The 23,451-nt window shown below is 36.8% G+C and overlaps 1 protein-coding gene across 10 annotated transcripts in view, besides 1 other annotated feature; it reads right to left on the bottom strand.

Moving 5' to 3' along the window:
• USP3 (ubiquitin specific peptidase 3) overlaps window positions 1-23,451 on the bottom strand; it is a 90,041-nt gene that overhangs the window by 36,319 nt on the left and 30,271 nt on the right. For 9 of the 10 annotated variants that reach the window (NR_046341.2, NR_046342.2, NM_006537.4 and 6 more), the window contains 4 exons: window positions 21,159-21,290; window positions 4,517-4,600; window positions 1,567-1,648; window positions 127-209 (listed from right to left, as the gene is read on the bottom strand). Coding sequence is in view for 8 of the 10 variants with exons in the window: in NM_006537.4 (NP_006528.2) it covers window positions 127-209; window positions 1,567-1,648; window positions 4,517-4,600; window positions 21,159-21,290 (381 nt within the window). In the remaining 2 variants the exon portion in view is untranslated. The remainder of the gene's footprint in view (window positions 1-126; window positions 210-1,566; window positions 1,649-4,516; window positions 4,601-21,158; window positions 21,291-23,451) is intronic. The other variant, NM_001256702.2, reaches the window with a different exon arrangement.
• Window positions 18,471-18,765: a silencer, noted in NCBI's record as "tiled region #15501; K562 Repressive non-DNase unmatched - State 15:Elon". NCBI's record gives its function as "represses a minimal TATA promoter and a strong SV40 promoter by Sharpr-MPRA in K562 cells {active_cell/tissue: K562}" and the evidence as "EXISTENCE:reporter gene assay evidence [ECO:0000049][PMID:27701403]".

Here is a 23,451-nt window from a genome sequence, read left to right as displayed (position 1 = left end):
GCACAGGAAATTAAGGTATCTTGCTCCAAACCATATGACTAGAGTTAGTGGCAGACGAGATAGGGAGCCAGAGCCCGTGCTCTTAACCTTTAATGTCAGACACTTAAGCTCTGACTGTAGCGTTACCTGAGTGACTGAAGGATGGCATTCATGAAACATGTGTTCCCCAAATTCCGAAGGCCTGTGGCACAAATGGCAGTGGTGCTTCCCTGTAAGTGGTGCAAGAAGAGGCCATCAGTAATGCCAAGGGAAGGCCAACTGTTTCAAACATCAAAGCTAAGGAAAGGCCTCTGAAATCTAGCACCAAGCCAATTTGGAATTGGTCCTTTTCTGTCCAATGAATATTTCAAACAAACTCTCTAGTCTCTGTATAAATGTCTGGATATTTTTAGAAGGCTGTTTCTGATCCTGGGATTGTTCTAAATAGAAGTATCTTATTGAAAGCTTATGAGGAAATCACCATTAATGAGTACCATGGAGTACACAATGCAAAAAACAGGAAATCCTTAAAATAACATTTAAGACTTAATGCCTTTTTAAGATTCTATAAAAACTAAGAGAAATGGAAAAAATATAAATATATACACCCCAAGTATTTTTGTCCCCAAACTTTTAACTCTAAGCCATACATAAACGACCAATACACGTTTTCCTAACAATGGGATATGAATCTTGAAAAGCTGCCTGAGGCCAGGCGCCTCAAGACAGGCCGCCAACATGGCGAAACTCCGTCTCTACTAAAAATACAAAAAGGCTGGGTGTGGTGGCTCATGCCTGTACTCCTAGCACTTTGGGAAGCTGAGGTGGGTGGATTGCCTGAGCTCAGGAGTTCGAGACCAGCCTGAGCAACACGGTGAAACTCCGTCTCTACTAAAACAGAAAAAGTTAGCCGGGCGTGGTGGCGTGTGCCTGTAATCCCAGCTACTTGGGAGGTTGAGGCAGGAGAATTGCTTGAACCCAGGAGGCTGAGGTTGCAATGGGCCAAGATTGTGCCACTGCACTCCAGCCTGGGTGACAGAGTGAGACTCCATCTCAAAAAAAAAAAACAAAAACAAAAACAAAATAAAAGTACAAAAATTAGCCAGGCGTGGTGGTGTACACCTGTTGTCCCACCCCCTTGGGAGGCTGTGGCAGGAGAATCACTTCAGCCTGGGAGGCAGAGGTTCCAGTGAGCCGAGACTGCGCCACTGTACTCCAGCCTGGGCTACGGAGTGGGACTCCATCTCAAAAAAAGGAAAAGCCGCCTGAAGCTAAAGACTTAGTCTTAAAAACAAAGGCTGGGTTTTCTGATGACGAAGGAGTGTGAGCAAGTATTAAGAGTGAACTGTTTTCTAGGGAAGAGGAGCACAGCAGTAACGCTGATGGGAAGAAGGTGCTGACAGATGGACTCACTGGGGTCACGGCAACAATCGACAGTACAGGTGGCAAACATTGTGTAAAATACTCCAAATCCAAGACACACATTTATAAAAGTCTGTAACAGGTAACATTACATGTTAGAGTTGTAACAAAACAGTGATTAAATCTCAACTAACTCTTATATTTGAATAAATTTTAATTACTTACATTTACTTTTAATAACTTGCTGTTTAGTGTTGAGTTTTCCAAAAGTTTTCTTTTCTTATGCCTGTCAGCTGTGAAAGCTGAGCTATTAAAACACAAACAGATAGTGAAAAAGTTATTAATATATGCATGCTACACCACAGGTGAAAGAATAAACTCCAGCTGCCCTCAACACCTAGGGCATGGAGACCTCCCTGACTGCTTCGTCAGGCCTACTGGGGCCCACACGTATTTGAAGTTAACCGAGGAGCTCTACTTCCTTGGAAATCCCCATTGCTCCTCCAGCAGAGGTGGGCTGGACACTGCTCCTGGCAAAGCTGGCCGGGAAGATGCAGCCCGTGGGACACTCCCCACCACCACTCTCACAGTCTGACTGACTGCGAAGCTTCACAGACCAGAAGGTTCATTCCTCACAAGAAAAGGAAAACCCTGGTCTGATACTACTGTTCTGAAATTTAACAGTAAGTCTCCATATGCTATTTCTTTCTTAATTTCAATAAAGATGCCATGTTTTGCTCATTTGTCTTAATAGATGATGATATGATCTGAGTTTGAGGAATGATAAATAAGTTACAGGAATACAGGCACATGTACATTCATTAGATGCAGCTACGCTCCAAAGGACATTCTAAAACACATCCTTATTAGTGAGGAAATTCTGAATTAAAATCACTCAAAATTTTTCTTGATGTAAGAAATATTTTGCTTAAAATTTATCAGAAAGTTATTTCTATTTTCAAAAGGTCACTTTAAAATTTTATGTCTCAGGCAAATTAATCTAAAGGAAGTAAAAATTATGGTTAAACAACACAGACTTTTAAGGCCGCCAATTCTCTCCCACCTTCTAAAAGTACCCAGTTCATCCAAAGTAAATAATTATTTTTTTCTTACAGAATTTCCACATGAATTATGTCTTTGAAACATCAGAACTAGTGACAGTTGCTTCAAACCTCAAAATGTTCTTCAGAACTGTGTGTCTCTCTCTTACAGTACTGGTAGCCACAAGATGAAGAGACCAATTCCATACTCTATAGTGTTCAACTATTCCTTCACAAATTCTGTGAAGTGGGGAAGGTAAACCACAAGCATAGTATATATGCTCTTTATGACAATGCCTAAGAGTTCATTTTCAGTTGTAACCTATATAAATAAGGCATTTCACCTTTTAAAAATGTAAGTTACTAAATTTTATCCTCAGTGACTCTCAAAATGCAGAATCTTCTAGATCCATGCTATCTAATATAGTAGCCACTCACTCCATGTGGCTATTTAAATTAATTAAACTTGAAGTTTAAAATTCAGTGTCTCAGTTGCACTAGCCACTTTTCAAGTATGGCTAGTGTTACCATATTAGAGTGGATGGAGAACATTTCTGTCACTGCAGAAAGTTCTGCTGGACAGTGCTGCTCCACGGGGCATGCGGAATAGTCGAAAGTTAAGTAAAACACAAATATGATCGTAGTTTCTAAATTCCACTACAGATTAAACCAATGTTTGCAAAACACAAAAATGAATCTAGGTAATGTTTTTCAACATAGGAAATGGGCTGTAAGGTAGATTTTTCATGGAGCCAAGCAGACATGTAGACAGGTGGTCTGTGACACCTTTCATCTGATGAAGTGATCAATGGAAAGAAAAGATTTTTTAACTGTATAAATGCATGCAGGTTCTCAAATGCCCTCTTTTCCCTTTGACTTAGTTCTGATTATTTCAGACTGAGAGGGTGAAGGACATCACCACACCAAAGAGTGATACTACATACATTCCTTCAGGAATCTCAGACTTCATGTTTATTGTGAACAGTTTCAGAGAAAATTAAATATTTTGGATCTGTGTGTATCTGTCTCTAATCCTAGATAGGACTCATCAAATTAGAAGAGAAGTACTCTGAAAAAGAGCCAAAAGATGACAAACCAAGAAGTACTTAAACCTGAAGTACTTTAATTGGTTTAGATTTAAAGAAATCATTATTCTTCCAGTATTGGCTTTATCATCTAGTTAGTCAATGAGACATACATAATGTCTGTGGTTTTAACAAACACTACACAGTACTGCCCTCAAAGAAGTTAGGTTATTTCTTTTCAGTATGCAATTTTCAAACATTCTATGGGCTTTACACTTAAGTTTGCTAAGGGACTCCTGCTTTGTGGATGTTTTCACAATACCTTCTACACATCAACTGCCAAAATAAATTAGATGGCGCTTAATGATTTGGTGTGATGTACAGAGATTTCACTTGAGTCAGCAGTCATTCCAGAGCCATGCTTCTATCCACTGTAGCTTCAAAGGCATGGCTAGCTGGGTTTCTGTTTATTGCTTCAATTTCGGGTCCAGTGAGTTTTATCTAACTATTTGACTATACCAATAAAAGTCTGTTCACATATAAATAGTTTCATTTCTTTATGATGACAAAGTATTCATAGCTCCTTGTAATGTCAACTGATATTTAACTGCCCCTAACAAGCAAGGAAGAAACTAGGATCCTGTGCCACTGTATAGATGCAAAGTGGACAATATGTTCATTAAACCTAATTTCCCTTAAAAATGATGCATAAATCATAGTGCTTCCTAGTAGACCTCATAATACATTTGACAGGGGTTTTCTATTATCAAAAGTAACTCTATGATGATTTCACACCTTTTTCTGCCCTTTTCTTGTACCCTCAAAATAAATTGAGTAGCTTATAAATTGTTGGGTAATATTTTTTAAAGAGGCTCTTGGGACCTTGGATATGGTTTATGACAAATATTAAATAAAATAAATGCACAGCTATGACCATTAACTATGGGCCAAGTTTTAGCTATCCAAAGCCAAGGTTTATTTTATTAACATTTCAATCATATTATAAACATGAAGTTATTAAACTCATCAACAAAAACCCCACTCAAAAATTCTAAAAGACTCCTCAACCCCATTCTTAGGCCCTTCTTTTTCCAAAGGCCTATTACTTACTTTTCCAAGTTCTGTAAGTGTTCTCTGACTTTCTGTACCAGTCCCAGCTTGGTGTCATTAACCACAAAATCATCACAGCGATAACTGCAAGGAAAATATTAATCAATGTGTGTAAAGAGCTTGAGGAAACCACAGTAATGAAATCACTAAAAGGTCTGGCTGTTGCCAAGATGATCACATGGCTCTGCAGGCAGTTACTGCTGGTGGTAAGTTTAAAGAGGACCTGGAATTCACAATGGAATGTTTTTCAAGAGTCTTTTTTAAAAGCCACGTAGGCAATGAACATGAGCTTCTTTTCACGTTTTTTACTCAAAAGCTCTTCAATTCCTCCTTTGAAAATGAAATAAGCTGCTACATGTGTTACATTCTTTTTAGTGGTGCCTAATACATGGAAAATGAAATAAAAAGCACCGAGTCTTTTCATGTAGCATTAAGCCTAAAGCTTTAAGTTGACACTTCCCAACCCAAATTAATGGGGAATTGGGGGAAGGAGAGATTTAAGTGAAAAGCAGGGAAGAGGTAATTAACCTGTAGGGATATCTGAATAGAAAAACTAAAGTTAAAGCTGCACATTTTAAACATAATTTAATTAAAATAGCTTGAATTCAGATGAGCTGAGAAGAATGCTCTTTCACTCTGAGGCACTACAAAACAAAAGTATAAAATAGTGGCTATATCATTCAGGCAACTGATAAGTGCTTTGAAGAAAAATATTTAAGCTATATTTAAAAACCGATACTCTGTGTGTTTTATAAGTCAAAAAGCAAATAATGTAAGAAATCACACATAATATAAACTTTAACTTGTTCACATTAGCATTTAATTTTTTCCTGGGATAAGGCCAATTTTAACAAAAACAATTTACAAGCTGGCACTAAGATATTATTTTGAATATGCTTTGCATGAAACCATTTGTTATTACTATCAAAGAATAATAAAAATAACACTGCCATTCTGAGCAAACAAAACTTTGAAAGCACAGCAGTTAGTAAAAATTAGGTCATCTCTAGCAGATTCCAAAAACATATCTGAAAACCATTTTATTAAAAAGAGGGAGAAAGAAAGAGAGAGAAAGGGGTGGGGAAAAGTAATTTTAGAAGATTACACAAAAAAGCATGCTTGTGTCTTTTATTCAGAGAAATGAAAATTTTAAGTGAATGCTTCTCAAAACTGTCACTACAATGTTATATATGTAATTATTTAACACACACTCTCATTAACTGATCACCCAGGCAGTCAATCAAGATTTCTCTAACATATTCTCCGAGCGTCTAAAGTCAATTCCCAACATTTCCACAAAGAGCAAAAGCAGTCTTTTATATCCTGGACCATTTTCTATTATCAAAGTACTACCAGCAGGAGAAAAAATTCTTCATTGGTCCTATAACAACTACATAAAGAAATTAAATTAGTGAAAAGTTTTAATTTTTTGCTCCTTCTCGGCATAAATATTAAGAGGATAAGATCTACTTTGTCTGTAAATTTGGGCTTAGGGCATTTGGTACCTCTATAAACCTTAAGCATTCACTGAAGAATGAAATTGTATTGCTACTCTACTCGAATTTCTGCTTACATTTTTATTTTATGTTTGCATAAATTTATGCATGTAGTTTGAATAAAACAATCCTCAGTGTCCAAAACTCGAAATGCTAGCATTTATCTGGAAAGTGAAGTCTTAAGAGCAAACTCAGATCACTTTTTCTATATTTACACGATGCCATTAATATCTAATTGAAAACTGAACCTCTAACTGCCACAAATAAGTGGTTGTTTAAACAAATAAATTATTTCAAAGTAAATTAAATAACTGATTTATTTCTTATTAAGGTAATCCTTTCTGGTATAACATGAAGTCAGCCTTGGTCATAAAATTACGTTTGTTAAAGTACAGACTCATTTACGGACTTGCTCTGTTCTTCCAGGCCAGTTGGGTCCAGCAGCTTTGCCTCTCTACCCTTTTATCACCAAAGTAAGTTGATCTAGACTCCAGAGCTGTGCAAATGTGGCTACTGCAACTGAGGAATACAATTTTTATTTTTAAAACTTTTAATTAATATAAATTCTTAATAACTGAAGCAGTGTAAAATCTTTTACCATTAAGCACAATGTTATAGTTTGGTAGGATTGTCTTTTGCTTTTATTATTAAATTGTGCAAGATATGTGGGAGTGCACAGCTGGGTAAACATGTCATTTCTAGCATTACCCAAAAGCGTATCACCAATCTAGTTTGTATCAACAGAATGAGTCAGTTCAAGTGATTTTTCTATGATTTTTCTATGCAACAATGTAGCATTGTAATTGTTTATTTGAACATTTTATGCAGATACCATGAGTTATGGTGACCTATGTAAATCATAATTGGCAATTAAATTAAAATACTTATTTTAATTATTTTATAATTAAATTTTTTTAGCTTAAAAATTAAAAATAGAAAAATTTTTACTTTCAAATGCAGGTATACTGCTGAGAAAGAATCAAATGAAAAGAAAAAAGACTCAACAAGGTATGTCACAAATTTCACAAAGAATGGCAATTGCGATTTGCTGCAGCAGAGCAAAGTTAAAAAGCTGCTGGGTAAAAAAAGAGTTTTAAGATAATAAACAACAGTTAAGAGACATTTTCAGCAAATGCATTTCAATTTAATATGAACTGGCTTCAGTCAAAAAATAATTGATAAAATTAGTCACAATCAGTGAAATCAGAATTAAATGTAAAACAAAAACATTCCTGAAGATTTTACAGAACTTGAGCTTGTAAGTGGCCAGCTATAAAACAGCTTGGATTATTTTTTTCTTTATTTTTTAAAAATACAGCCAGGGTATTCTGTTTCCCAGCCTGGTCTCAAATTCCTGGCCTCAAGCGATCCTCCCACCTCAGCCTCCCAAAGTGCTGAGATTACAGGTGTGAGCCACCGCGCCTGACTAGTTCAGATTCTTGTTCAATGTAGAAAACAATTTTAAGGTGATGAGATGAAAAATTAAATTATTTCAGTTAAGGAAATTATATTTTTAAATTATGAGGAAAAAAGTTAAAAAGATATTTTACGGAAAGTGAAAAATCTTTGAGACACCAAGCAACTGTCAGTGAATAAAAGTCCCTTCTAACAATATTAAAGACCAATTAAGTCAGCATTTGAAAAGTTACAAGTATTTTTAGCTTTAGATGAATTTTAGAAGAGATAATGCCTAATTAATACTATGGGTATATTTGTCTCAAATGACCTTCAAATTTACAGAGAAATGTCTTCATCTATTTGCAGCCTTAAATTTAAAAACTGATCTTATGTTGTAGATATTTTTGAATTCTCTACATCTGTAACTCTCAGCTAGATATAAAAAAGTCAGTTTCCAGCAAGACAGTGTTCCAACATCAGTATTTGTTGGATTTATTTCTCTTATTTTTTCTGCTGTGGGAAACACAATGCAAATATTTGTGCCCTAAGGCAGACTGTATCATGGAAGCAGCTATTAAAATTGTTCAGGCCGGGCATGGTGGCTTATCCCTGTAATCCCAGCACTTTGGGAGGCCGAGCTGGGTGGATCACAAGGTAAAGAGATCAAGACCATTCTGGCCAACATGGTGAAACCCTCTCTCTTCTAAAAATACAAAAATTAGCTTGGCGTGGTGGCACACGCCTGTAGTTCCAGCTACTCAGGAGGCTGAGGCAGGAGAATCGCTTGAACCAAGGAGGCGGAGGTTGCAGTGAGCTGAGATCATGCCACTGCACTCCAGTGCACTCCAGCCTGGCAAAAGAGCTAGACTACGTCTCAAAAAGACCCAAAAATTGTTCAGTACATATGCACAAATGCTCTAAATCATCACCAGTTTATGGAACTGTTAAAAGAAATAGAAGACAGTGAATTTAATGACCACATTATTAGCTAATGTTGGTTGCTTGAGTCAAGGAAGAGTTTTGCAAAGATTTACAATTCTGTTAACTCTAATTCAGATTTTCTCAAAACAAAAGAAATGCTTGCCAATATTCGACAATCAAAGAGTAAACCAGGAATAGATTTTTAGAAATCTCAGTGTGATTTACATTGTTACCCCTATATCACAATGCATATCAATTAGCTAGATTTGAAGATCCAAGGAGAGAAAAAGCTTATTCATGACCTAGCTAGACAGGTATAACAATTTACGTTAAAATTGAAGATTTTTATAATACAAATCAATGATCGTACACATTTTTCAACATGAATTAACATGCAGCAGCCCAGCACTGTGTAAAGTGGCTGCAAAACCTATGAAAAAAAATACAACAAACGCTTTGTTGATTTGGATAAACTTAGAGTTGATTTTCGATTTATATGATGCCCCTCTGAATTTGACGTTGATAATAAGAAGTTTTCACAAGTGTTAGTGGACTTATTAACCTGCATGGATATTTTGACAGTGCTGCACTTCTTCTGAGTCAAATCAATTATTCTTAAAAGAGTAATTTTTCTCAATACAGATACAAATACTGGAGAAAAACTGTTTGGTACTCCATTTATTGGAAAACAATGTTTAAAACAGTGTGAATCTACTTTTTTAACTGCAATTTTTATGAATCTAAATACAGATCAAATATTTTTTATCAAAACTTCACGAGTTGAGATGTACTTAAAATTGTAAAATACACAATGGATTTCAAGGATTTCATATAAAAAAGTGCAAACTATCTCTAATAATTTTACATTGATTACATGTTGACACAGTATTTCTGATATACTGGGTTAAAAAAATGTACAATCAAAAGTAATTTCACCTGTTTCTTTTTGCTTTTTTAATATGGCTACTAAAATATTTTAAATTACATATGTGACTTGAATTATTTCTCTTTTATATAACACTGCTAATGTAGGGAATCTAAGATACTACCTGCTCCAAAATTCTATAATACTAGCATAAAGAGATAATAAATTAACTTTATTGAACTATAAGAACTCAATTTTATAGTCGGGCGTGGTGGCATGTGTCTGTAATCCCAGCTACTCAGGAGGTTGAGGCATGAGAATTGCCTGAACCCGGGAGACAGAGGTTGCAGTGAGCAGAGATCATGCCACTCCACTAGGCAATAAAGTCAGACTCTTGTCTCAAAAAAAGAAAGAAAAAAGAACTCAATTTTAGGCCAGCCTGGGCAACATAGCAAGACTCCATCTTTATGAAAATTAAAAAATAAAAAATTCCCTGGGCAAGGTGGCTCACGCCTATAATCCCAGCACTTTGGGAGGCCAAGGTGGGTGGATCACCTGAGGTCAGGAGTTCGCGATCAGCCTGACCAACATGGTGAAACCCTGTCTCTACTAAAAAAATACAAAAATTAGCCAGGAGTTGTAGCGTGTGCCTGTAATCCCAGCTACTCGGGAAGCTGAGGCAGGAGAATCGCTTGAACCTAGGAGGCGGAGGCTGCAGTAAGCTGAGATCGTGCTACTGCACTCCAGCCTGGGCAACAGAGTGAGACTCTGTCCCCCCCCAAAAAAAACAAAGCAAAAATAAAATAATAAATAAATAAATAGCCAAGCATGATGGTGTGCACCTGTAATGCCTCCCAGCTCCTTGGGAGGCTGAGGTGGGAAGATCACTTGAACTCAGGAGTTGGAGGCTGCAGTGAGCTGTGATCACATCACTACACTCCAGCTGGGTGACAGAGACCCTGTCTCTAAGATTTTTTTTTAGTTTTTTGTAACTATATTTATTTTTTTGAGACAGGGTCTCATTCTGTCACCCAGGCTGGATTGCAGTGGCCCCATCTCAGCTCACTGCAACCTCCGTCTCCCTGGCTCAAGTGATCCTCCCACCTCAGCCTCCCAAGTAGTTGGGACTGCAGGCACGCTACCATGCTTGGCTAATTGTTTAACTCTGCTTCCCAAAGTGCTGGGCTTACAGGCATGAGCCACTATATGCCTCTCTCTATGCCTCTCTCTCTCTCTCTCTCTCTCTCTCTCTATGCCTCTCTCTCTCTCTCTCCCTCCCTCCCTCTCTCTCTCTCTCTCTCTATGCCTCTCTCTATGCCTCTCTCTCTCTCTCTCTCTCTCTCTCTCTCTCTCTCTCCCTCCCTCCCTCCCTCCCTCTCTCTCTCTCTCTCTCTCTATTGAGACAGGGTCTTGCTCTGCAGCAATGCTATCACAGATCACAGCTCACTGCAGCCTTGACCTCCTGGACTCAAGCGATCCTCCTGCCTCAGCCTACCAAGTAGCTGTGACTACACGCATGAGCGACCATGCCTGGCTATTTTTTTTTACTTTTGTAGTGGCAGGGTCTCACTATGTTGCCCTGGCTGGTCTCAAATTCCTGAGCTCAAGCAATCCTCCCACCTCAGCCTTCCAAAATGCTAGGATTACAAGACTGAGCCACTATGCCCGGCCATAACTCAATTTTATTTTGGCTGGATTTGTTTTTCACTGGTTTAAAAATTTTTTTTTTAGGTTTTTACAACTATCTCTATTTCTCAAGAGCCAATTCTAGGTGTTCCTATAGTCAGTCACTAAGAGGGACATTTATTTCAAGAATGTAACTTTCGTTTTTCTACTGTTTGAATTTCATATTATACAAGTTGTATATATTACTATGATTGTTGTTACCGCTATTCTTTAAGGAAAACAGCTGCTTCCACAGGTCAAAACTTCTAAGGTGAGAGTGCCTGTCAACGTGGCAGAGGATTAGTAAATGTTAGTTTCCTTCCTCTGTGTAACTAGCCTCACAGCACATTCCTCTCTAGCTACCTAGATTCCCCTGGTTTGATTTCTTTTTCCTCTGTGGTCAGAGGTCAAAAGAAAATAAGTAGCAAAGGTGGCAAATAAATGAAAATGTAAATGTTACCGGGTTGCTTTAGTCTTCAGATGAGACACAGCTTTCAAACTGGAAATTGTCCCACTAATATTGGTGTTTAAAAAGGCAAACAGATTGGCTGGACGCGGTGGCTCACGCCTGTAATCCCATCACTTTGGGAGTCCAAGGTGGGCAGATCACGAGGTCAGGAGACTGAGACCATCCTGGCTAACATGGTGAAACCCCGTCTCTACTAAAAATACCCCCCACCCAAAAAATTAGCCGGGCATGGTGGCGGGCACCTGTAGTCCCAGCTACTCGGGAGGCTGAGGCAGGAGAATGGCGTGAACCCGGGAGGTGGAGCTTGCAGTGAGCTGAGATCAGGCCACTGCATTCCAGCCTGGGCGACAGAGCAAGACTCCATCTCACAAAAAATAAAATAAAATAAAATAAAGGCAAACAGATGGATTTAAAAGTTCTAAAAATCTTTTCTTGATTCGCTACAGTTGTATTGAAGCTTTTTGGTCAGAATTATGCATACCTCAGACACTGGGAAAAAAATTTAGTCACTCTTCTTAATTTTCCCTTCAAGAAGATTATGCCAGAATAAGTGGTACAAAAAAGTACGTAACTCATAGGTTGTGTTTCAAAAACGTGTAGATTGGTCCTCTGAAGCCTAGAATGCATATCCTGCTTTGAAATAAATGTTACAAAACACAGTTAAACGTTCTAGGTAGAAATACATGTTTCCCAAAATGTAGCTGAAATCCATAGTATTTGAAAAAGCTCGATTTCTCCTTTCTTATTTATATACTACTGGCACTGAGAAACTGACAGGAGAGGCCTAGGCAGGATTCAGATAATCTGACTGGCCTCTAGGAGAGGAGGTCCAGGCTCAGCATCTTCATATACACAGGACTTCATGTAATAAACAGAAGTCAGGAACTACCTACATTATATGACCAAGTTTTAGGCTATAAAATTTATACCTAAGCAAGTTTTTACTTACTGATTTTAAATGACTCTTCAAGAAAAGATGAGCTCTACTGTTTTTTTTTTTTTTTTTTTTTTTTTGAGACAAGGTCTGGCTCTGTCACCCAGGCTGGAGTGCAATGGCGTGATCTCAACTCACTGTAACCTCCGTCTCCTGGGCTCAAGCCATACTCCTACCTCAGCCTCCCGAGTAGCTGAGACTACAGACACGTGCCACCATGCCCAGCTAGTTTTTGTATTTTTAGTAGAGATGGGTTTTCGCCATGTTGCTCAGGCTAGTCTCGAACTCTTGGGCTCAAAGCCATCCGCCCGCCTTAGCCTCCCAATGTGCTGGGATTACAGTTGTGAGCTACCGTGCCTGGCCTAAAGATAAGCTCTACTTCTGACGGACTTTTTGTCAGATAAGGACTATATTTAATAGAAAGAAAGCAGTATTTACGAAAAAGTAAGTACACTGAACATTAAAAAAAAACAAAATACTTGAAAATTGTACTAGGGTACATATTAGAGATGTTAGATAAGGAAATAGGATATAAAAAAGGAAGGTAAGAAGAATATTGGTGTCTTTACTTCTAAGACAGACAAGTAACATTATCATCTTGGGTATGTAAAGATTAGTCTCAAATCCAAATTCATTGAGCCAAATGTGATCATAAAGTAGTTTTAAACTCATTTAAGCCAACAGCTAATAAACTCCTAATTAAATGTACAGTATAGTATAATATGCATACTGATGTTAGACAGGATATATACAACTGATTTTACTACCGTGCACTGAAAAAAGATACATCAAGTAGCAGGTAAATTTTCATAAGAAACACAAGCTACTTATTTCTATTATATAATTAAGGAGGTAAACAATGAATAAAATCAGCTTGAAAATTATTTCAAATTCTGTTGACACTAATAAACAACAAAAATGAAACTGCTCAATTTTCTCATTACACTTATACTTTATATATGCCTTTTTAGATTTTGATTTATTTCTAACTTCTAGTATTTAACCTTGCCTAAAACCTTGCTACTTTTCTTTCTATACACTCTCAAAAACTCATCTTTTTTCTCTTCATTTCAAAGAACATTCTTTTCTATACTTTGGTTATTTCCTTTGGTACATCTTTTTCCCTTTTCCCTGAGAAACTTTCAATTCCATAGCTATCTGTAACTGAACTAAGTATAGTATTTGATGGTCCCCACAATGTCAGCCTTGCTTAGATATTCTTATCTCCTACCCCTTCCCTCCCAATCTTCCCTTTCACTTCAGTGTTACCTGCTCTAGTTTTAGAGTTAAGCTTTCATCCCATATACCATGAACTCTCTTACCCCTCGGTATTTTCCATTTCGCACTATTCACTTATTTAATGGCAAAACAATATTCCTCATTCGGTCATCTCCATCTTTACATTCTTCCCCCATTCTCCAAAAATGAAAACACACAGCATGGCTCAATCGTTTTCTTGTCCTAAAATTTAATGTAGGTTTACTTCCTTTAAAAAATTCTAACTTTAGAAACACTCGTTTCCTTCCTGTTTTTGCCCTGCACTACTTGCCCCCTCTAATTCTAAAAGACAAAACACTAGTCTACTAAAGTCAAAACAATAACTTTGGATTGAAATCCAGCTACTTCCCCTTTCACTAGTTTTGGTTAATAAAGTTACTTTCTTTCTACCAGACCTCACTCATATTAACTGGACTCTACAAGCAGTGAGCATCCAGACCTGCATTTGGTTACAAAAGAAGCCTTCAAGCTATTTTCATCAGCTTCCTAATCAAGTTAAAAAATAAACCACAAAACTGAGTATCCACTACCCTCTCTATATATATTCTATATATATATGTATATATTTGTATTAATAAATTATATATACAATTAAATCTAAATTATATATTACAAAAAAGAATAATTTTTAAAGAATGAGCTAGAGATGAAATAAACTATATTAAATGTCTTGCTATTCACAATATCTTCATACTATTATTAAACTAATTTCCTTTTTTTTTTTTTTTAAAGACAGTGTCTCCCTGTGTTGCCCAGGCTGGTCTCGAACTCCTGGGCTCAAGAGATCCTCCTGTCTCAGCCTCCCAAAGTGCTAGGATTATAGGTGTGAGCCACCATGCCTGGCCATAATTTCTCAAAGTACAATATACCATAAGGTAAAGGTTTGACATTAATGACAGTGAATATAGATTCATACTTCCTATCATCTTCATGTTAATTTTTAAACATTTTGTCCAACTTATCAGGTCTTATTAGTCTGTGTTTTTATTAGATAGCCAATAATTTTATCCTGTAATATGTTTGATGAGCACAGAGTAGGAAAATGTATCCATTTGCCCTTTTCTTGTGTTTACATCATCGTCACTATCTTGCAGAATTTAAAACCTTTTAGAACATGTGTCCATGTGGCTACACATATTATATGGGACGAATAAATCCATATAACTAAGCAGATATAGAATGCAAAATGCTCAAAGTAAACAGAATGAGGACACCACAGGTGAAACTGATTTAGGAGTCTGTGTGTAACTCATGGCACACAATCATCAAATCTACAGACCTCTGGCAGCAGGTGTTAAATATTTGACAAAGGTTTCTTTTCTCCTCCCAAATAAAAAGGTACAGTGTTCTAAACGCTCTTCCCATACTGCCAGTACATTATTTTGGAGACCACTGCACTAAAAACTAGGTCCCTAGCACATAGTAGCTTCTCAAAAAATGTTACTTATTGAGTAAAATGTGTCTTTTTTTTTTAATGTTGTTCACAATATGTTTGAGGACCATCATGTAAACCACGATCTGTCCCAAGTAAACATTTTGAAGACAAAAACTGAGGGAGAAAAGGACTACTTTTTATAATATCAAGTTTTCTTCATAAGGGTCATTACCTTCACTCTGTACCTTTCTTTAACACATTTATTCCTAGGTGTAACCAATAGTTTTGTCATTCTGTTGAATATTTTTGCTTGGTCATTTCCATTTTCAACTGATGACTACTAATAAAGAGAAAGCTATTAGTTTGTGTACATTTCTCACACATCAGCTTTCCAAAGTGTCTTACATTTAATCCTCATTGCTGTTTTCTACTAGAGTCCCCCTGGGCTTTCCAGCTATTCTATTGTATCATTTCAAAGTAGAAATAATTTTTTGTTTCCAATATTTATGCCAATTATTTGACTTTCTGTCTACTGTCTTACTGCAATGGCTAGAACTACCAAAACAATGCTTAATAATAGTGACAATCATGTAAATGATGACAGGAAGTATTAGTCTCGTTTCTGATATAATGGAAATGGCTTTGGCATTTCATCATTTAGTATATGATGTTTGCTTTCTGGTTTTTGGCAAACTAGAAGAGCTTAAGTTTCTGTTTATTTCAATGTTATTAGTTTTTTAAAACGAGAAATGGCTATTTATAAATGTATATTTTGCTTCCAATGGGACAATAATTTGAGGTTTCCTTTAATAATGAATATGTTCATAGAACTCAGGTGAAATTAACTCTACTTGGTAATTATATAATTTTTCTTTTTGATAGCTTACTGGGTTAGATTTGCTTTAAGTTATAGTTATTTCCAACTACAGTATTTTATTTAGTAAAATTGGCTTATTTTGTTTTTGGAGTTTCTGTTAGATTTCTATCTTAAGGTTTTGAAAGTTTATAACATTAATATACTTAATGTTAAATTTTAATAGTTTGAGGCTGCACTGTCCAATAGTAGCTAGCAGTCACATGGTGCTATTTAAATATTAATTAAAATAAAAAACACTTAATTCTTCACACTAGCCACATTCAATTGCTCAATTGCTACCATACTGAATAACATATATGTCATACCCAAGACAGAGAAAAATCTCTACCTCTTTCTCAGCTTTAAAATTCTAAGTTTTTTTCAATTCCTGTTGTTAGTGCTATTGAAGTTACTCAAGTCATGACTTCCACATCATGTCCTTGAAGAACTAAGAAAATATTCCCAAAGCAAACCATTCTTCACTCATCTGAAACAAGGAGGAATAATCATACAAATAAAACATTTTTTATGCAACAGTAAAGAAACAAGTCCTTTAATTTACTGGCAACAAAGCTATCTTTATACAGTAAGCCATGCATAACACTAATACCAAAAATAAATAAATAAATAAAACCTCTTATGCAACAAACACCCCTGACACATGACAGATCCTTCATTAAGTTTCACCAGCTCCTTTTCATTCACTTCTAAGACATTTTGATATTTACGGGCAAATTTGACATCTGGTTTTATTATAAATGACAGTAATACTGAAAAGAAAAAGCAAGCTGATATTCTAGTGACTTCACCTATTTCAAACTGAGAAAGGTTAAAATCTAAAAGAATTTGCTTAGGAAGCAAGAGCATTTTTAAATTCTCTTACTAAACTCTGATGTATTGCCATCAAATAAGCCAATTATGGAAAATTAGAAGAATACCTGCAGAGCAAACCCATATCCTTTGTTAAAAGCAGACAAGTACCAGCTTATCTTAAGGAAGAGCCTTTTATGTTTTAAGATTATCTCTATTAGAAAGTTTCTTCTTAAACTTCAAAATATTGTTTTTAAATAAACAAAACTCTCCCTGTTGTCTAATTTTTTACATTGAAAATTTGCGTCCAAATCGTTTATAAGAACATCAACAAAATATTTTCCTTTTTTAAAATTTTTAATCACAACTGCTGTAGGAAATGATTCATTATCTATTTAAACTCACAAATAAAGCTTTATGTTCATTTTAATTAAAATTGCCATTTATTACAAGTGTTTAAAATCTGAAATTCAAGCCTCTTTTCTAGACAACTGATTCATATTTCACAATATTTCTTCATTTGAAAGGATGCTTTAAAACATTACCTGCCCTGAAGGAATATACTTTTAATATTCCTTTCATAATTCTTCATTCTCAAAAATTCAGCTATTATTGATAAGGATATCGAAGTTGACAAGACTATGTCAGATGTCAAAAATTATTGGTTCAGTATTTTAAATCTATTAAATACAAAGGTCTACCTCCATAAAAAAACCAAAGTTCCTAATTTTAATCTTTGTTTCTTCTCAATCACAATAATGTACACCACATACAATTCCATTTGTATTGGTTAAGGGAGGGAAATTGGGATGGGAGCAAATGAAATATTACCTAACAAACAGTAAACTAAACACTAGCTCTTGTGTGAAATCTTGGGAAGATTTTTATTTTCATCGAAATCTTAATTTACCTTTCATTTTCAAGTTAATGTGCTTATCTCCTTAAGAAGTGGGTTTGTGTCAAATCAGAATCATTCCTTTTCGCACTGCTTTCTCTCTTAATGAACAGTAACCTGATTTATATTGTTCTGCCTGGTTAATGCATGCTTCCTCTCTGGGCTCCTGTTTACATCAAGGTGGAGGGGCACTGCTCTACAAGGGTGTCCATCTTGGGAGGGAAATGAAGTAGTTCACCTATATCATGATTTAAGTTGTCTGCAGGAAAAATGTTACGTGGCTCTTTAGTCCTTCAAGATGATCAGGGGACACAGTATTATAGATCTGATGTAACCTTCCCCATTTCTGAAAGACAGTTAACAAAATTCAGTCTTTCAAACGTATGTCACCTACTCTGCACCAGACACTGCATACTAGGGAAAAATACAAAGATCTGAGATATGGTATCTGCAGTCTCCAAGGACATTTACAAATAACTAACATGCAGCATGAAATTATAAGTATTCCAAGAGCTGTGAGTTCAGGAAAGATTACATTCAGCTACAACTGGAGCTGGGGAAAGAGAAGAGTTCAGTGATAACTTCATAAAGGATTGCAAACATAGGACAGGGCAGGGACTATTGGCAAGGGGAAAGCAGGGAAAGAAGAACTGCAAGCCTCAGAGTATGTTATAACTTCTCTAGGGCACAGAGCACACTGCAAAAAAGGCTTTGACTTTAGTCAAGATATTTATAATCAAACATGTTAAACCTAATGCACCAATGTTTTACCTCTGAAATCAATCATTCAGTCTAACCACAAGAAATTAGTGTACAAGGAAAATTAATAAATTGAAGTAAAATTACTAACGGGCACGAGGAAACAACACATGCACACACTCCACACAGAAATAGGAAATCTGTTTCTTCATCACAGTGAGGTGTGGGAGGAATGTTAATTTAAACTGCATCTTCGTCAATTTACAACTATCACAGATTTCTTTTAGGCCATCAGTGTAATGCTACGGGGTGATTCCCTAGCATTTTATTCTAAAACCCACAAGTGAGCCGACAATGTGACCAGCTGCAGCTCCCTTCCTGAATTCAGCAGCTCTGGGTGTCCACACACTTGCAGCTCTGTACAACTTCACACAAAAGCCTGGCAATCGGCCAAGAAGACTCCATCATAGTGTATACTCCCCAAGGTTCAAGATTTTCCATTTAATTCCAATTCCACCATGAAACGACATATACTTTAGCAGACCATAGCGAAATAAAACCAATTCAATTCCCATTTCTAGTTAATAAAATATGCCCCTAAAATACAATGTATAAAGATATTAAAATATATAATCTACATTTTTAAAGGGCCTTGAATATAATTCCATTCCATTAAGATAATTCTTAAAATTTTCTTTAACAGTTAGTTTCCTCAGAATCTTACCAACAGCAAGAAAACAATGGCAAACTTGTTATAGCACACAGCGATTTAATTGTATTTCCAAAGTCCTCCATTAAGCAATTCACTCACATTGCTAACTGAAAATCAAAAATCAATGTTCTCAGTATCTGGTACTATAGGATGATGTGACCCATGACAATGTGAGACAGATACTTCAAGAATTATATTAATTTCTGTTGTCTAAAGCAGAAATACAAACACACAGAAACACACAGTTCTGCAAATTACGTAGCCACATCACTCTAGTATATAAGTTTCCTGAGGGAAAGGGCGAAAAAAAAAAAGAAAACCTGAGGGAAAGGGGAATGCAAACGCTTTAACTGCCTGGCTAATGCTTAACTTTGGTAGGTGTGTTTCACAACAGCAAATAACAATAAACTGAGCACTAACCTTTGTGTAAAAATCTTGGGAAGATTTTCATTTCTACTGAAATCTTCACCTACCTCTAGCTTCTCTCTCTCCAGGTCTGGACATCTTCCACACAAAGGATCACTAAAAACAGTAGTGATCTGAATGAATAACCCTTAAGATGTCTATTCAATAGCCAAAATTTAATGGTGTTGAACCTGTAAAAATGTAAAAGACCCTTTGGGAGGCCGAGGCAGGCGGGTCATGAGGTCAAGAGATTGAGACCATCCTGGCTAACACGGTGAAACCCTGTCTCTACTAAAAATACAAAAAAATTAGCCGGGAGTGGTGGCAGGTGCCTATAGTCCCAGCTACTCAGGAGGCTGAGGCAGGAGAATGGCTTGAACCCAGGAGGCAGAGCTTGCAGTGAGCGGAGATCGGCCACTGCACTCCAGCCTGGGCGACAGAGCAAGACTGTTTCAAAAAAAAAAAAAAAAAGTAAAAGACCTGGCAAACCACTGACCCTTTCTTCTTCCTTTTGATGGGCACCTTCCTATCATACAATTATCGACTAAGGACAATGTGGAAAGGATTCTCACACCATTTCAGTAGAAAGTAAATTAAAATTGTTATCTGGACTTCTCTAAATCCCCATCTCTACCCAGTAATGCCTTCATGTAACATTCAAGGGCTGTCTGACAATAAAAAATATCTCCAAAGTGATCCTTTAAATGGCTTATATCCCCTCCTTTAATGTCAACAACCTTCTGAATCAAGGGAAAGCTGATTAAAACAAGAATTGTTCATCATAATTTACTAGTCACAGAAAGAAATTTGCTTCACACCAAAGTTAAAACTGCAGAATATACTTTCTGAGCATAACCAAATGGATATGGATCATTAAGCATCACTCACAACCTAAATAACCTAGTTCTAAGTAGTCACAAAAATAGATACCTACTTTGTCATTTATATGAAATAGACATGAATATTATATTACAAAGAGGGAACAGAACCTGTTGCCAACCTCTTTTTAAAGGATACTAAAAAAAAAAAAAATAGCACTGGAAGCGGTGGCTCATGCCTGTTAATCCCAGCACTTTAGGAGGCCGAGGCAGGCAAATCACCTGAGGTCAGGAGTACGAGACCAACCTGACCAACATGGTGAAACTCCGTCTCTACTAAAAATACAAAATTAGCTGGGCATGGCGGCACATGCTTGTAATCCCAGCTACTTGGGAGGCTGAGGCAGGAGAGTTGCTTGAACCCGGGAGGCAGACATTGAGGTGAGCCGATATTGCGCCATTGCACTCCAGCCTGGGCAGCAAGAGCGAAACTCTGTCTCAAAAAAAAGAAAAAATAGCCTGGAAAGCTACGTACCAAATTCTTGACATTCACCTTTGGGGGAGTAGAAGAGGAGCGTGGAACTGCACTGGGAGAAGGGAGACTGTCAGAATAATTTTTTTTTAAACAAAGCAGTTAAAATTTTTAAGATTATATGACAAAAATGTTAACTGGACCAGGGACAGGAGGAACATGGGTTTGTTGAGTTATTTTGAACATGGGTTATCACATTGTTCTTCAATTTAAAATAACACAAGAAAAAGAAATTATAATAACAAAGAAATAGATCTATTTCCTTGAAGCTAGGATGGATGAGGAACGGGAGGTGGGAGAGAAAAGGAGGCCTAGAAGTTGAAAGGAACAATGCAAAGTAAAATCTGAATGAATAAAGATAGGCGTTCCCAATGGCTCCAGTCCTCCGTGAATCCTAACAGTTGTAAAAGGAGGTAACAGCAGTAGTAACTGGCTTAGAGACTGAGGGAAGGGAGGGGAGGAGAGCACACTTGCACACAGTAAGAAATCTCATTTCCAGAAAATGTTAACTTACCAGTATGTACTGTAGCTACTGCAATCCATACATACTGTGTGCTGAACTTTATCTTGCTTTTCTGATTTCTTATGGTTGGTTAAAGGTACTTGTGCATCTTCATAATGTTTTTTTGCATGGCCATTCACATACCTTACAAAAACCAAATGAAAATTTACTTTAAATATTGCTTTGGAAATTAAAGGAGTAGGAAATGATGAAATTAAATATTAATCAAATCAAAATAAAGAAATCCTATAACAGCAGTCAATCATGTAGTGATTTATTATACTGAATACTTAAAATATGCTCTTTTTTTTTTTTGAGACGGAGTCTCGCTCTGTTGCCCAGGCTGGAGTGCAGTGGCACGATCTTGGCTCACTGCAAGCTCCACCTCCTAGGTTCACACCATTCTCCTGCCTCAGCCTCCCGAGTAGCTGGGACTACAGGCGCCCACCATCACACCCAGCTAATTTTTTTTTTTTGTATTTTTAATAGAGATGGGATTTCATCATGTTAGCCAGGATGGTCTTGATCTCCTGACCTCATGATCCACCCGCCTATGCTCCTTTTTTGCAACCAAATACTATAGTCAACTTTTAATTATATACAAGAGTAGGCTCAGGCAAGGAAAGGCATAATCTATGCAAATTGGTTTCAGTACCATAGATATTATTTATAAACTCCTTTGCTGCTGCTTTCACTATAGCTTTTTTTTTTTTTCTCTCAGACCACTAACCCCCAACTTGGGCTATTATCAAAGACAAGCTCTGTTAAGTAAATTACTCAGCCACTTCCCACAGGGCCATAGACTCTGCTCAAGTTGCTGCTTAACATAAAGTGTGAGAGTCAGAGAAACAGGACAATGTTCCATCTCTCACCAATATAGCTTCCAGTCTTTTATTTGAATGCCTGAATAATCAGCTCCTCTCATATGGAAACATGTTTGTTTAGAAATAATCCAAACAAAACACAAATCACCTTAAGCTTACAAAAACTGCTATTTCTCTACATGGACAAAGATAATCAAAAGTTGATTATGTTCATAAAAATTGTGTAACACATTCCAACTCAGATTTAGTATTACAGCAGGCACAATGAAACTGAAATAAGGCTCCATATGCACATGGTGTACACCCAAATCCATCTACACCTTCGTCTAGAGACTGCACAATTCTGTCACTAACCACCAACGTGAAGACCCTTAAGAAGCAACATTTCCCAGTTCCTAGAAAGCAGCCAATGTGTGGAAGGCAAGGCCTACTTGAAAACTCAGTCAAAACAAATGTTGGTTAAATGGTACCAAAATAAACAGATGCAGAGAGTTAGATGACATTTTCATCATGAGGCACCTTAACTGCACCAGGAAAAACACTTACCTTGGAGGAAGTAGGAGAGTTACCGTAACTGGGAAGGATCAACTTCAAACCTAGCCCCTCTACCCAGGAAAACTGGGCACATTCAAGGCACTATTAACCTCAACTTGGAATGTGATCACGTTCTTTCTCCATTTTTTCCCTGTACTTTACACTTTTGCATATACCTGAGTCCTCTGTTCATAAAACTGTACTAAAATGAATTTTAGAGTCAAATAATGATTAAGAGGATAAGCTCAAAAACTAGACTGCCTGGATTCAAAATTAGGCTTTATCACATCCTGGCCATGAGAGCTTGGATGAATTATTTAACCTCTCTGTACTTGTTTTCTCATTTGTAAAATGGACGTAATAGTACTTTGTGTCTCATGGGTTGTTAGGTGATTACATAATCCATAGTTCATAACAAATGAATGTTAGCAATCATTTTATTAGCATTCTTCTTTCTGTGCTTAACTACTACTCATTCAGAATCCAAACAACAATTGCTTAGAAGGTGGGCACATTTAGCACATATTTCAAGATAACATGTAACTGTATAGGTCAAGAAACGCTATTTAATAAAATGTAAGGCTGGGTGCAGTGGCTCACGCCTGTAATCTCAACACTTTGGGAGGCTAAGGCAGGCAGATCACTTGAGGTCAGGAGTTTGAAACTTGCCTGGCCAACATGGTGAAACCCCATCTCTACTAAAAATACAACAATTAGCCATGGTTGGTGGCACATGCCTGTAATCCCACTACTTGGGAGGCTGAGGCATGAGAATCACTTGAACCCAGGAGGCAGAGGTTGCAGTGAGCCGAGATCACCCCACTCCACTGCAGCCTGGGTGACAGAGTGAGACTCTGTCCAATAAGTAAATAAATAAATAAATAAATAAATAAACAAATAAAAGGCAAACTCTAAGGTATCATATAGGTTCAATACTTAATCTTAAT

This window comes from Homo sapiens, chromosome 15 (genome assembly GCF_000001405.40).
Source record: "Homo sapiens chromosome 15, GRCh38.p14 Primary Assembly".
Lineage (NCBI taxonomy): Eukaryota > Metazoa > Chordata > Mammalia > Primates > Hominidae > Homo > Homo sapiens.
Note: the sequence above shows the minus strand (reverse complement) of the source record. Positions and strands in the feature narration are given on the sequence as shown.